The sequence below is a fragment of the Homo sapiens genome, chromosome X, assembly GCF_000001405.40.
Source record: "Homo sapiens chromosome X, GRCh38.p14 Primary Assembly".
NCBI classification, from domain to species: Eukaryota; Metazoa; Chordata; class Mammalia; order Primates; family Hominidae; genus Homo; species Homo sapiens.
In genome coordinates, this window is record NC_000023.11 from 131,708,225 (window position 1) to 131,721,527 (window position 13,303).

Here is a 13,303-nt window from a genome sequence, read left to right on the forward strand (position 1 = left end):
GGTTTAAAACACTTGATATTATAAAATCAAATCCCAGGTCACCATGAGTCATTTAATTAGCCAAAACAATAACTCAAAATGTTTTAAAACGGAAAAAACCTTTACTCATTAAGAGGGAGACTTAGCTCTCCAAACAATCTGTCTTTTTTTCTTTCCCTTCTTCTTCCTACAGTTTATTCAAAAGGCAAACAAAAATCTTTCATCATTTCTTAATATCACATGAAAATCTTGTTCAAGAGAGAAAGCCAAATTTCACCATTGTATTAGTGCACTATTGATGTCAAACCCAAATCTTAATGAAACCTTATGGACAAATCTATCCAATTTTAATGTCTGACCATAAGGTAAGATTCTTATAAATCTTTTATAATTCTTTGCCAATTTTTGTTAAAGAGCAAATTAGTGCTGTAAGAAAACTCTGTTGTACTTTTTTTTTTTTTTTTTGAGACGGAGTCTTGCTCTGTCGCCCAGGCTGGAGTGTAATGGTGCTATCTCGGCTCACTGCAACCTCCACTTTCCAGGTTCAAGCAATTCTCCTGCCTCAGCCTCCTGAGTAGCTGGGATTACAGGCGCCCGCCACCACACCCAGCTAATTTTTGTATTTTTAATAGAGATGGGGTTTCACCATGTTGGTCAGGCTGGTCTCGAACCCCTGACCTCGTGATCCACCTGCCTCAGCCTCCCAAAGTGCTAGGATTACAGGTGTGAGCCACCATGCCCAGCCAACTCTGTTGTACTTTTATTCCAATGTTCAATTTATGGAAAAATTAAATAGTACCCCTTTAACTTTAGCTAATATGTTCACACACAGAATTTCATTTACAATTAATTTGTCACAAGCCTTCCATAAGTGTTCAAACCTTCAGATTTTTCTACCTAACTTAAAACATTATTATTTTAGAGAGGCAGTGTGACAACTGTTTGACTACCGCCTGATGGTCAGCTGACATTCCCAGTGGGTCGGCAAGAGCCCTCTCCTGCCCTGCTCATATCTGACTAGCGACCTACTATAACTGCTTCAGATATGGGACACTGTCTCATATGTAGGGCTGCTCTCTTCCACAAAAATGGTCAGACCAAGCTATTTCTCCAGGAGGTAGTTTAGCAGTCCCCAGCCTTTTTAGCATCAGGGATCGGTTTTGTGGAAGATAAATTTTGCACAGTCCAAGGTTGGGGATGGTTTCAGTTAGATTCAAGCTCACTACATTAATCATGCACTTTATTTCTATTGTTATTACACTGTAATATATAATGAAATAATTATACAACTCACCATAATGTAGAATCAGTAGGCACCCTGAGCCTTGTTTTCCTGCAACTAGATGATCCCATCTGGGGGTCATGAGAGACAGTGACAGATCATCAGGCATTAGATTTTCATAAGGATAGCCCAACCTAGATCCTTGCATGAACAGTTCACAATAGGATTCATGCTCCTATGAGACTCTAATGTTGCCAATGCTGACAAGAGGTGGAACTCAGGCGGTAATGCAAACGATGGGGAGTGGCTTTAAATATCAGTGAAACTTTGCCTGCTCCACGCTCACCTCCTGCTATGCAGCCCAGTTCCTAAGAGACCACAGAACAGTACAGGTCCGTGGCCCAGGAACTGGAGACCCTTGATCTAGCAGATATCTAAGTCTACGTTAGGTGAAACAGCGTGGGGAGTCTAGATGTCATTTTGTCATTTCCAGGAATGGGGGTCATTGAGAAATGCTTCCCAGAGGGTCGTTAAGACACTTCTATTTTTGTTTTGTTTTGTTTTGTTTTGAGACAGGGTTTCACTTTGTCTCCCAGGAAGAAGTGCACTGTTGCCCACTGCAACCTTGACCTGCAGGGCTCAAGCAATCCCCCCAGCTTAGCCTCCTAAGTAGCTGGGATTATGGGCAGGCACTACCGTGCCCAGCTAATTTTGTGGGGATTTTTATACAGACAGAGCTTCACCATGTTACCCAAGCTGGTCTCAAACTCCTGAGCTCAAGCAATCCACCTGCCTCAGCCTCCCAAACTGCTAGGATTGCAGGCATGAGCCACCGGGCCTGGCCGAATCTTTAAAACATTCCTGAATGCCAATAGCATCTATGTCTACAGACCATCAATCAACTCTAACCAGCTTGAGGGAGAGCTAGGTACAGTCAAGGATGTCACAAAAGCCAGGTCCCTTACCCTGGAATGCCTGCCTGAATCTTCAGAGGCCAGGAGAAGTCCTACCTGAAGAAGATCTTGAAGCACTGGAAGGTCACACTACAGTACCAGACTAATATTACATCCTTTTTTAAAAGATTCAGATACTGAGATAACAAACAATGAAAAAGAATGTCATGGGGAACAAGTCACCCATACAATTTTAGCCACCCTTGTTGATTTTTCAATTATGAGTCATGGAGTATCTGGAGGTCTCCACACCTAAGGGTGGATATCTTCATGAAGAACTAGCTTTGAAGCTGGTACACAGAACGCTCGCTAGAATGAGATAAATACTGGTTTCCTCAGGACTAAAAAATGCCATCATTCTCAGGGAATGTCCAACGGAAAAGAGCCACCTATCTGCCCTCCTTGAGAGAACTGAGATTACCATCAGTGTCCTAGTATGAGAAAAGACATTCCCATGAACTTATAAAGTCACAGATAATCCTGGCTTGTGGGCTTAGATAATTGCTTAGGCTTTCCATTACATTCTTGCTTCCTGGAAGCAGCTAGCTCAGTCCTGGTCCCTCACTCACCAGATACTTCACTAAGACTTTGCATTTGTCCATTGATTGTGCCAGGCCTCAGAGAAAAGGGTAGGAATGCCAACTTGTGTCTTGGGCCTGTTCAGCCTCCACTGGCTTTTCCTTCCGCGACGGCTAGGGTTTACGTGGAGGAAATGCTCACGGCTTCGGATGCTATGAAACTACTTCCGCATGATGGCAGTATTGTCCCAGAAAAGCCAAGTAGCGCTAGGCGCTCCTCTCCCGCCCATCACGTTTGAAAAAAATGCCATGAAGGGACAAAGACAACAGAAACTAAAACTATCTAACATTTTTGCTCAACTTGCATAAATGTATTCCACTCTTGGCATTTTGCTTTTGGCTTCCATTGTTTTTTTTGTTTTTGTTTTTTCTTTTCACAGACGGAGTTTCGCACTTGTTGCCCAGGCTGAAGTGCAGTGGCTCAGTCTTGGCTCACGGAAACTTCCGCCGCCCGGGTTCAAGTAACTCTCCTGCCTCAGCCTCCCAAGTAGCTGGGATTACAGGGACGCACCACCACGCCCGGCTAGTTTTTGTATTTTTAGTAGAGACGGGTTTCACCATGTTGACCAGGATGGTCGTGAACTCCTGACCTCAGGTGATCCACCCACTTCGGCCTCCCAAAGTTCTGGGATTACAGGTGTGAGCCACCGCGTCTGGCCCCATCGGATATTAAACTGAGATCTAATCCACTCACCCTCATCAAGCATCTCCTGTTTTCAAGAACTCAGTATTGGCCAGCCAGGATTGCTCCAGTGCACTCCAGCCTGGGTGACAGAATAAGAGTCGGGCTCAAAAAAAAGAAAAGAAAAAGAAAGAAAAAAAGAAAAGAAAAGAAAAAGAACTCAGTATCCGCACAACCAAGTCTTTCCCTTTCTGCTTTTTCACTCAGCATCATATCTGAAGGGTTTTATTGTGATATCGAATTGTCTTGTAATATTAGGGACAGACCTCAGGGATCCATGCCTACGGAAACAAACAAACAAAAAAGCAACAACAAATGTTTACCCCTAAGGTCTTGGAGAATAGCAAAGCTAAGCACCAGGCCATGTGGTTCTTGTCCTGACCCTCTGTCAGGCCTCTGAGCCCAAGCTAAGCCATCATATCCCCTGTGACCTGCACGTACACATCCAGATGGCCGGTTCCTGCCTTAACTGATGACATTCCACCACAAAAGAAGTGAAAATGGCCTGTTCCTGCCTTAACTGATGACATTGTCTTGTGAAATTCCTTTTCTTGGCTCATCCTGGCTCAAAAAGCTCCCCTACTGAGCACCTTGGAGCACCTTGTGACCCCGACTCTGCCCGCCAGAGAACAACTCCCCTTTGACTATAATTTTCCTTTATCTACCCAAATCCTATAAAACAGCCCCACCTTTATCTCCCTTCCCTGACTCTCTTTTCAGACTCAGCCCGCCTGCGCCCAGGTGAAATAAACAGCCATGTTGCTCACACAAAGCCTGTTTAGTGGTCTCTTCACACGGACGTGCATGAAATTTTGTGCCATGACTCGGATCAGGGGACCTCCCTTGGGATATCAATCCCTTGTCCTCCTGCTCTTTGCTCCATGAAAAAGATCCACTTACAACCTCAGGTCCTCAGACCAACTAGCCCAAGGAACATCTCACCAATTTTAAATCGGGTAAGCGGCCTCTTTTTACTCACTTCTCCAACCTCCCTCACTATCCCTCAACCTCTTTCTCCTTTCAATCTTGGTGCCACACTTTAATCTCTCCCTTCTCTTAATTTCAATTCCTTTCATTTTCTGGTAGAGACAAAGGAGACACGTTTTATCCATGGACCCAAAACTCCAGCGCCGGTCATGGACTAGGGAAGGCAGCCTTCCATTAGTGTTTAATCATTGCAGGGACACCTCTCTGATTATTCACCCAGGTTTCAGAGGTGTCAGACCACTCAAGGACACCTGCCTTGGTCTTTCACCCTTAGCGGCAAGTCCCGCTTTTCTAGGGGAGGGGCAAGTACCCCAACCCCTTCTCTCCGTGTCTCTACCCCTTCTCCGCCTTTCTGGGTGGCAAGAAACCTCCAACCCCTTCTCCTTCACTCTTAGCAGCAAGTCCCACTTTTCTGGGGGAGGGGCAAGTACCCCAACCTTGTATCTCTGTGCCCCGATCCCTTCTTTCCATGCTCCGACCTCTTATATCTCTGCACCCCGATCCCTTATTTCTGCACCCCAACCTCTTATATCTCTGTGCCCTGATCCCTTATTTCCATGCCCCGACCTCATATCTCTGCGCCTCAACCCCTTTCCCGCTTTTCTGGAGGTTAAGAACCCCCGAACCACTTCCCTACGTGTCTCTACTCTCCCTTTTCTTTAAACTTGCCTCCTTCACTATAGGCAACCTTCCACCCTCCATTCCTCCTTCTTCTCCCTTAGCCTGTGTTCTTAAGAACATAAAACCTCTTCAACTCTTGCCTGACCTAAAACCTAAATGCCTTATTTTCTTCCACAATGCCGCTTGACCCCAATACAAACTCGACAGTGGTTCTAAATGGCCAGAAAACGGCACTTTCGATTTCTCCATCCTACAAGATCTAAATAATTCTTGCCGTAAAATAGGCAAACGGTCTGAGGTGCCTGACGTCCAGGCATTCTTTTACACATCGGTCCCTTCCTAGTCTCTGTTCCCAGTGTAACTAGTCCCAAATCTTCCTTCTTTCCCTCCCACCTGTTCCCTCAGTCCCAACCCCAAGCGTCACTGAGTCTTTCTAATCTTCCTTTTCTACAGACCCATCTGACCTCTCCCCTCCTCGCCAGGCCGAGCTAGGTCCCAATTCTTCCTCTGCCTCCGCTCTTCCACCCTATAATCCTTCTACCACCTCCCCTCCTCACACCCGGTCCAGCTTACAGTTTAGTTCCGCGACTAGTTCTTCCCCACCTGCCCAACAATTTCCTCTTAAAAAGGTGGCTGAAGCTAAAAGCATAGTCAAAGTTAATGCTCCTTTTTCTTTATCCAACCTCTCCCAAATCAGTTAGCGTTTAGGCTCTTTCATCAAATCTGAAAAACCCAGCCCAGTTCATGGCTCGTTCGGCAGCAACCCTGAGACGCTTTACAGCCCTAGACCCTAAAAGGTCAAAAGGCCATCTTATTCTCAATATACGTTTTATTACCCAATCCACTCCTGACATTAAATAAAACTCCAAAAATTAAATTCCGGCCCTCAAACCCCACAACAGGAGTTAATTAACCTCACCTTCAAGGTGTACAATAATACAATAGAGGCAGCCAAGTAGCGACGTATTTCTGAGTTGCAATTCCTTGCCTCCACTGTGAGACAAACCCCAGCCACATCTCCAGCACACAAGAACTCCAAATGCCCGAACCGCAGCTGCCAGGGGTTCCTCCAGAACCTCCTCCCCCAGGAGCTTGCTACAAGTGCCGGAAATCTGGCCACTGGGCCAAGGAATGCCCACAGCCCGGGATTCCTCCTAAGCCGCATCCCATCTGTGTGGGACCCCACTGAAAATTGGACTGTTCAACTCACTTGGCAACCACTCCCAGAGCCCCTGGAACTCTGGCCCAAGGCTCTGTGACTGACTCCTTCCCAGATCTTCTCCACTTAGCAGCTGAAGACTGACACTGCCCAATCGCCTCGGAAGCCTACAGGACCATCACAGACGCTCTAGGTAACTCTCACAGTGGAGGGTAAGTCTGTCCCCTTCTTAATCAATATGGAGGCTACCCACTCCACATTATCTTCTTTTCAAGGGCCTGTTTCCCTTACCTCCATAATTGTTGTGGGTATTGATGGCCAGGCTTCTAAACCTCTTAAAACTCCCCAACTCTGGTGCCAACTTAAACAATACTCTTTTAAGCACTCCTTTTTAGTTATCCCCACCTGCCCAGTTCCCTTATTAGGCCGAGACACTTTAACTAAATTATCTGCTTCCCTGACTATTCCTAGGCTACAGCCACACCTCATTGCTGCCTTTTCCCCCAGTTCAAAGCCTCCTTCACATCCTCCCCTTGTATCTCCCCACCTTAACCCACAAGTATAAGACACCTCTACTCCCTCCTTAGCAACCGATCACGCACCCCTTACCATCCCATTAAAACCTAATCACCCTTACCCTGCTCATCGCCAATATCCCATCCCACAGCACGTTTTAAAAGGATTAAAGCCTGTTATCACTCGCCTGCTACAGCATGGGCTTCTAAAACCTATAAACTCTCCTTACAATTCCCCCATTTTACCTGTCCAAAAACCGGACAAGTCTTACAGGTTAGTTCAGGATCTGCGCCTTATCAACCAAATTGTTTTGCCTATCCACCCCGTGGTGCCAAATCCATATACTCTCCTATCCTCAGTACCTCCCTCTACAACCCATTATTCTGTTCTAGATCTCAAACATGCTTTCTTTACTGTTCCCCTGCACCCCTCGTCCCAGCCTCTCTTTGCCTTCACTTAGACTGACCCTGACACCCATTAGGCTCAGCAAATTACCTGGGCTGTACTGCTGCAAGGCTTCACAGACAGCCCCCATTACTTCAGTCAAGCCCAAATTTCATCCTCATCTGTTACCTATCTCAGCATAATTCTCATGAAAACACACCTGCTCTCCCTGCTGATCGTATCCGATTAATCTCCCAAACCTCGATCCCTTACAAAACAACAATTCCTTTCCTTCCTAGGCTTGGTTAGTGCGGTCAGAATTCTTACACAAGAGCCAGGACCGCACCCTGTAGCCTTTCTGTCCAAACAACTTGACCTTACTGTTTTAGCCTAGCCCTCATGTCTGCGTGCTGCGGCTGCCGCTGCTTTAATACTTTTAGAGGCCCTAAAAATCACAAGCTATGCTCAACTCACTCTCTACATTTCTCATAACTTCCAAAATCTATTTTCTTCCTCTATCTGACGCATATACTTTCTGCTCCCCGGCTCCTTCAGCTGTACTCACTCTTTGTTAGGTCCCACAATTACCATTGTTCCTGGCCCGGACTTCAATCCGGCCTCCCACATTATTCCTGATACCACACCTGACCCCCATGACTGTATCTCTCTGATCCACCTGACATTCACCCCATTTCCCCATATTTCCTTCTTTCCTGTTCCTCACCCTGATCACGCTTGATTTACTGATGGCAGTTCCACCAGGCCTAATCACCACACACCAGCAAAGGCAGGCTATGCTATAGTACAAGCCACTAGCCCGCCTCCTAGAACCTCTCATTTTCTTTCCATCGTGGAAATCTATCCTCAAGGAAATAACTTCTCAGTGTTCCATCTGCTATTCTACTACTCCTCAGGGATTATTCAGGCCCCCTGCCTTCCCTACACATCAAGCTCCAGGATTTGCCCCTGCCCAGGACTGGCAAATTAGCTTTACTCAATATGCCCGAGGCAGGAAACTAAAATACCTCTTAGTCTAAGTAGACACTTTCACTGAATAAGTAAAGGCCTTTCCTACAGGGTCTGAGAAGGCCACCGTAGTCATTTCTTCCCTTCTGTCAGACATAATTCCTCAGTTTGGCCTTCCCACCTCTATACAGTCCGATAGCAGACCGGCCTTTATTAATCAAATCAGCCAAGCATTTTTTCAGGCTCTTAGTATTCAGTGAAACCTTTATATCCCTTACAGTCCTCAGTCTTCAGGAAAAGTAGAACAGACTAATGATCTTTTAAAAACACACCTCACCAAGCTCAGCCACCAACTTAAAAAGGACTGGACAATACTTTTACCACTTTCCCTTCTCAGAAGTCAGACCTGTCCTCAGAATGCTACAAGGTACAGCCCATTTGAGCTCCTGTATAGACACTCCTTTTTATTAGGCCCCAGTCTCATCCAGACACCAGACCAACTTAGACTGTGCCCCCAAAAAACTTGTCATCCCTACTATCTTCTGTCTAGTCATACTCCTATTCACCGTTCTCAACTACTCATACATGCCCTGATCTTGTTTACACTGCTGTTTCTCCAAGCCATCGCAGCTGATATCTCCTGGTGCTATCCCCAAACTGCCACTCTAAACTCTTGAAGTAAATAAATAATCTTTGCTGGCAGGACTATGCTGAATCTCCTTAGGCACTCTCTAATCAGATGTCCTGGGTCCTCCCAATTCTTAGACCTTTTATACCTGTTTTTCTCCTTCTCTTATTCCATTTAGTTTTTCAATTCATACAAAACCGTATCCAGGCCATCACCAATAATTCTACACGACAAATGTTTCTTCTAACAACCCCACAATATCACCCCTTACCACAAAATCTTCCTTCAGCTTAATCTCTCCCACTCTAGGTTCCCACGCCGCCCCTAATCCCGCTCAAAGGAGCCCTGAGAAACATTGCCCATTGTCTCTCCATACCATCCCCCAAAATTTTCGCTGTCCCAAGACTTTACCACTATTTCATTTTATTTTTCTTATTAATATAAGAAGACAGGAATGTCAGGCCTCTGAGCCCAAACTAAGCCATCATATCCCCTGTGACCTGCACGTACACACACAGATGGCCAGTTCCTGCCTTAACTGATGACATTCCACCACAAAAGAAGTGAAAATGGCCTGTTCCTGCCTTAACTGATGACATTGTCTTGTGAAATTCCTTTTCCTGGCTCATCCTGGCTCAAAAAGCTTCCCTACTGAGCACCTTATGATCCCCACTCTGCCCGCCAGAGAACAACTCCCCTTTGACTATAATTTTCCTTTATCTACCCAAATCCTATAAAACGGCCCCACCCTTGTCTCCCTTCCCTGACTATTTTCGGACTCAGCCCGCCTGCACCCAGGTGAAATAAACAGCCATGTTGCTCACACAAAGCCTGTTTGGTGGTCTCTTCACACGGACGTGCATGAAACTCTCTACCCAGGTTCCCTGGGAGTTCTACTCTATGTTCTGACCTAGACATTAGGTCTTACGTGTTGAGGGGAAGGCCGCTATTGCTAATTAGTGGAGCTCTAAGATAAGGGTCCACATAACTCTTAAACTTGACAGACACAACCCTTCTTGAATGTACACAAATACAGGAATGACTATAAATGCTAATCAGATGGATCGCAGGATTTTGTCTCATGGTTTCATTATTTAATATTGGTACAGAAATATTTTCCAGTGTCATGAAATGGCAATGGCTTAAGACCGTGTCCTATGACTTTGCTGTGTATGTGTCTTATTGTTTTTCCGTTAGGATTCAATCCTATATTTTCTCATTAGTAGAAAAGACGTGGAATTTGCAAAGAAGTAAAAAGAAACTATGTGCTGATCAAAAGAAAAGCAATGTCATAAAACTGTGTATTAAATACTGATAACTTTTTCCATATTTTGTCCCACTTTCAATACATAGATAAAAGTTCTACATATATGTATGCAAACACTACAATAAATTTACATTTAAATTGGATTTAGCTATACGTCATGTTTTAGAGTGAACATTTTCACATGTGATTCTTGAACAGTTTTTGACATTGTTATAAAAAAATTTGCAATATCTGGATTTTAAACAATAAAATATTTGCAAAGAATTACTTGATTGAACAAGTCGTTAAGAAGTTCTTGGCCAAGTACAGTGACTCACACCTGTAATCCTAGCACTTTGGGAGGCCGAGATGGGCGGATTGCCTGAGCTCAGGAGTTCAAGACCAGCCTGGGCAACATGGTGAGACGCCGTCTCTACTAAAATACAAAAAAAAACCCAGCCAGGAGTGGTGCGGGCGCCTGTAATCCCAGCTACGCGGGAGGCTGAGGCACAAGAATTGCTTTAACCCAGGAGGCAGAGGTTGCGGTGAGCCAGGACTGTGCCACTGCACTCCAGCCTGTGCAACAAAATGAAAATCTAAAAATCTACCTATACATACATGAACACATATATAAATACATATTACATATAATATAAATATATATTATACATACTTATACCTCAGAATTAGCTTTTAATTCTTCTCAAATTTTTATCCCTAATTCTTATCTTAAATTTTATCTTTAAAATCTCAAAAGAAATATAACAAAATTCCATAAATGATAGTTGAGATAGGCATCTCTCACATTCAGTCACCTAGATGTGTAACCTAAGAAAACTTTAAGATGGAAGTATTCACACCACTCACATGCAGCTACAATGTTTCATTAATGTGTGTCTTAATATAAATATGAATGATATAAATTTGTTGGCCAATACTATCATATTCAAACATGTACTCACTATAACACTGACCATGATTTAAAATATATGGCATTAGGCCAGGCATGATGGCTCACAACTGTAATCCCAGCACTTTGGGAGGCCGAGGTGGGCAGATCACATGAGGTCAAGAGTTCAAGACCAGCCTGGCCAACGTGGTGAAACCCTGTCTTTACTAAAAATTCAAAAATTAGCTGGGCGTGGTGGCAGGTGCCTGTAGTCCCAGCTACTTGGGAGGCTGAGGCAGGAGAATCGCTTGATCCTGGGAGGTGGAGGTTGCAGTGAGCCGAGATAGCAACACTGCACTCCAGCCTGGGCAACAGAGTGAGACTGTCTCAAAAAAAATAATAAAAAATGAAATAAAAATATATGGCATTGGCCAGGTGCGGTGGCTCACAACTGTAATCCCAGCAGTTTGGGAGACTGAGGCAGGTGGATCACTTGAGCCCAAGAGTTCGAGACCAGCCCAGGCAATGTAGTGAGACCCTGGCTCTACAAAAAATAGCCAGGCACGGTGGTGTGTATCTGTAGTTCAAGTTACTTGGAAGTCTGAGTTGGGAGGATTACGTCAGCGCAGGGAGGTCGATGATGCAGTGAGCCACGATCATGCCACTGTACTCCAGTCTGGGTGATAGGGTGAGAGCCTGTCTAAAAAATATATATATATGTCATTTTAAAACTGTGTATACATACAGACAGATATGATGCAGATACACAGTCCCACACACATTTTACTTTCAATATAATTCAATGCATACTGTTTGCAATTTTGTACAAAATCTTTAGAACACCTTATAATATCTGCATGAATCCATATCAATATATACTTTTGAGGGCTTGAGATTTTTGGATTTTACTCTAGAAGAACTTTAAGAAATTATAATTCAAAAAGTATATGGTAGGTCAAACATAGTGAGACGAAGTAATTTAAAATGTCTGGGCCATATATTATCATCTGTTGACGATGCACATATAATATGAACTTATAAGCCAATGTTCAAATTATCCTGTAGTGTAACTATTAAAACAAGTTATCTTCACTTACAAATTAAGTACTTTTCAAATATAATAATTAATTATTCTTGGAAATAATAATAGGTTTTAAAATATTGGCACTTTTTAGAACTGAGTTATGCTAAATTCTTTCCTTATTGTACTCTACTGGCTAAGGAACAAAAAGGCTCACCCGGCCTCCAGTTATACAGTTCATGGCTATTCTTATAAAGTTCATAGAAGGCTCTAGAGGGAACGCATGTAAAGCGGCACCGGTGCCCACCTAAGTAACGCCAGAGACGTCTGGAACTCTAAGTTTGGACCCCACAGGAGGATGCTCTGGAAGATCCTCCGTGCCTCAAATTCTCCAAAGAGGATGCTTTCTGCAGAGGTTCTAAGGTCTAGTATTAAGCCCTCCTTGGAATTTTCTCTCAGAGTTGTAATGTTCCTTGGCCCCAAAATTGTTTAGAATCTGAAGTTTATTGTCTAATGGGAAAGCCGGATGGTGTTGCATGTAACCGGGCTTTTGTGCTGCTGTTCTAAGTAGGGGGCCTCGTTAACGTGTGATGCCTTCCTTTGTTAGTTTGGCCCCAGTGATCCTTATTGGAGTCTGGGGAGGTTTAGACTTTAAAAATCAAACTGCCATGGAGACTGCTTACCCGAAATTTTGGTTCACAGCCTTCATTGGATTATCTGTTGGGGCAAAGTAAAACTGGCAAGCTTGTATTGCTATCTCATGGCTAAAGTTGCAAGCTATTGGAGCCTGCAGCTCCCACGCAAGGGGAAGAGGAGGAAGTCCTCCCCTACAAAGCGAATTCACAAACTTGAAAGAAGCAATTTACACAGGATGTGCAGATCTCAACGGAAGGACACCGGAAACATCAAAAGCAAGGAAACGGGATACTTCCAAAGGAACCCAGTAATTCTCCAGCAACAGATCCCTATCCAAAAGAAATTCAAGAAATGTCAGATAGAGAATTGTGCATACTGATTTTAACCAAGATTAGGGGATACAAGAGACTTCTGAAAAAGAAAGGAGCGAAATGACAGAAGCAATTCTGGATATGGTTGAGGTAATTACCAACCAGATACGGAGTTTTCCAGGGCACACAGCAAATGTGGAACTGAAGAAATCATAGGATGAAATACAAAGTACACTCAAAAGCTTCAATGATAGACTAGATCAAGCAGAAAAAACCCTCAGAACTTAAAATCTGAAAGCCTTTTTCTCAATTCAAAGATTTAAAGGGTTGTACTCTGGCCATTCACGTGAACAAAATCTGCTGGGTTAATTGGTTTGGTTTTTTTTCCTTTTTTTGAGAGGGAGTCTCACTCTGTCACCCAGACTAGAGTGCAGTGGCACGATCTCGGCTCACTGCTATCTCCACCTCCCAGGTTCAAGCAATTCTCTGGCCTCAGCCTCTTGAGTACCTGGGATTACAGGCACC

The 13,303-nt window shown here is 44.1% G+C and overlaps 1 long non-coding RNA gene across 2 annotated transcripts in view, besides 4 other annotated features; it reads right to left on the reverse strand.

Annotated features, from left to right (window-relative positions):
• The window catches only part of FIRRE (firre intergenic repeating RNA element), a 139,119-nt gene that overhangs the window by 16,700 nt on the left and 109,116 nt on the right, over positions 1-13,303 (reverse strand). Inside the window, exons 11-12 of one of the 2 annotated variants that reach the window (NR_026975.2) lie at positions 3,427-3,496; positions 1,274-1,332 (exon numbers count right to left, since the gene is read on the reverse strand). This is a non-coding gene — a long non-coding RNA (firre intergenic repeating RNA element). The remainder of the gene's footprint in view (positions 1-1,273; positions 1,333-3,426; positions 3,497-13,303) is intronic. The other variant, NR_152876.1, reaches the window with a different exon arrangement.
• Positions 2,737-3,031: an enhancer, noted in NCBI's record as "tiled region #5272; HepG2 Activating non-DNase unmatched - State 24:Quies, and K562 Activating DNase matched - State 9:DNaseU". NCBI's record gives its function as "activates a minimal TATA promoter and a strong SV40 promoter by Sharpr-MPRA in HepG2 and K562 cells {active_cell/tissue: HepG2 | K562}" and the evidence as "EXISTENCE:reporter gene assay evidence [ECO:0000049][PMID:27701403]".
• Positions 8,990-9,516: an enhancer, noted in NCBI's record as "OCT4-NANOG-H3K27ac hESC enhancer chrX:130851242-130851768 (GRCh37/hg19 assembly coordinates)". NCBI's record gives its function as "activates a minimal SCP1, AML or CMV promoter by ChIP-STARR-seq in naive H9 embryonic stem cells {active_cell/tissue: H9 hESC(naive)}" and the evidence as "EXISTENCE:reporter gene assay evidence [ECO:0000049][PMID:30033119]".
• Positions 9,523-9,723: a silencer, noted in NCBI's record as "peak7427 fragment used in MPRA reporter construct". NCBI's record gives its function as "represses an SCP1 promoter by STARR-seq MPRAs in K562 erythroleukemia cells {active_cell/tissue: K562}" and the evidence as "EXISTENCE:reporter gene assay evidence [ECO:0000049][PMID:32103011]".
• Positions 12,224-12,757: an enhancer, noted in NCBI's record as "NANOG hESC enhancer chrX:130854476-130855009 (GRCh37/hg19 assembly coordinates)". NCBI's record gives its function as "activates a minimal SCP1, AML or CMV promoter by ChIP-STARR-seq in primed H9 embryonic stem cells {active_cell/tissue: H9 hESC(primed)}" and the evidence as "EXISTENCE:reporter gene assay evidence [ECO:0000049][PMID:30033119]".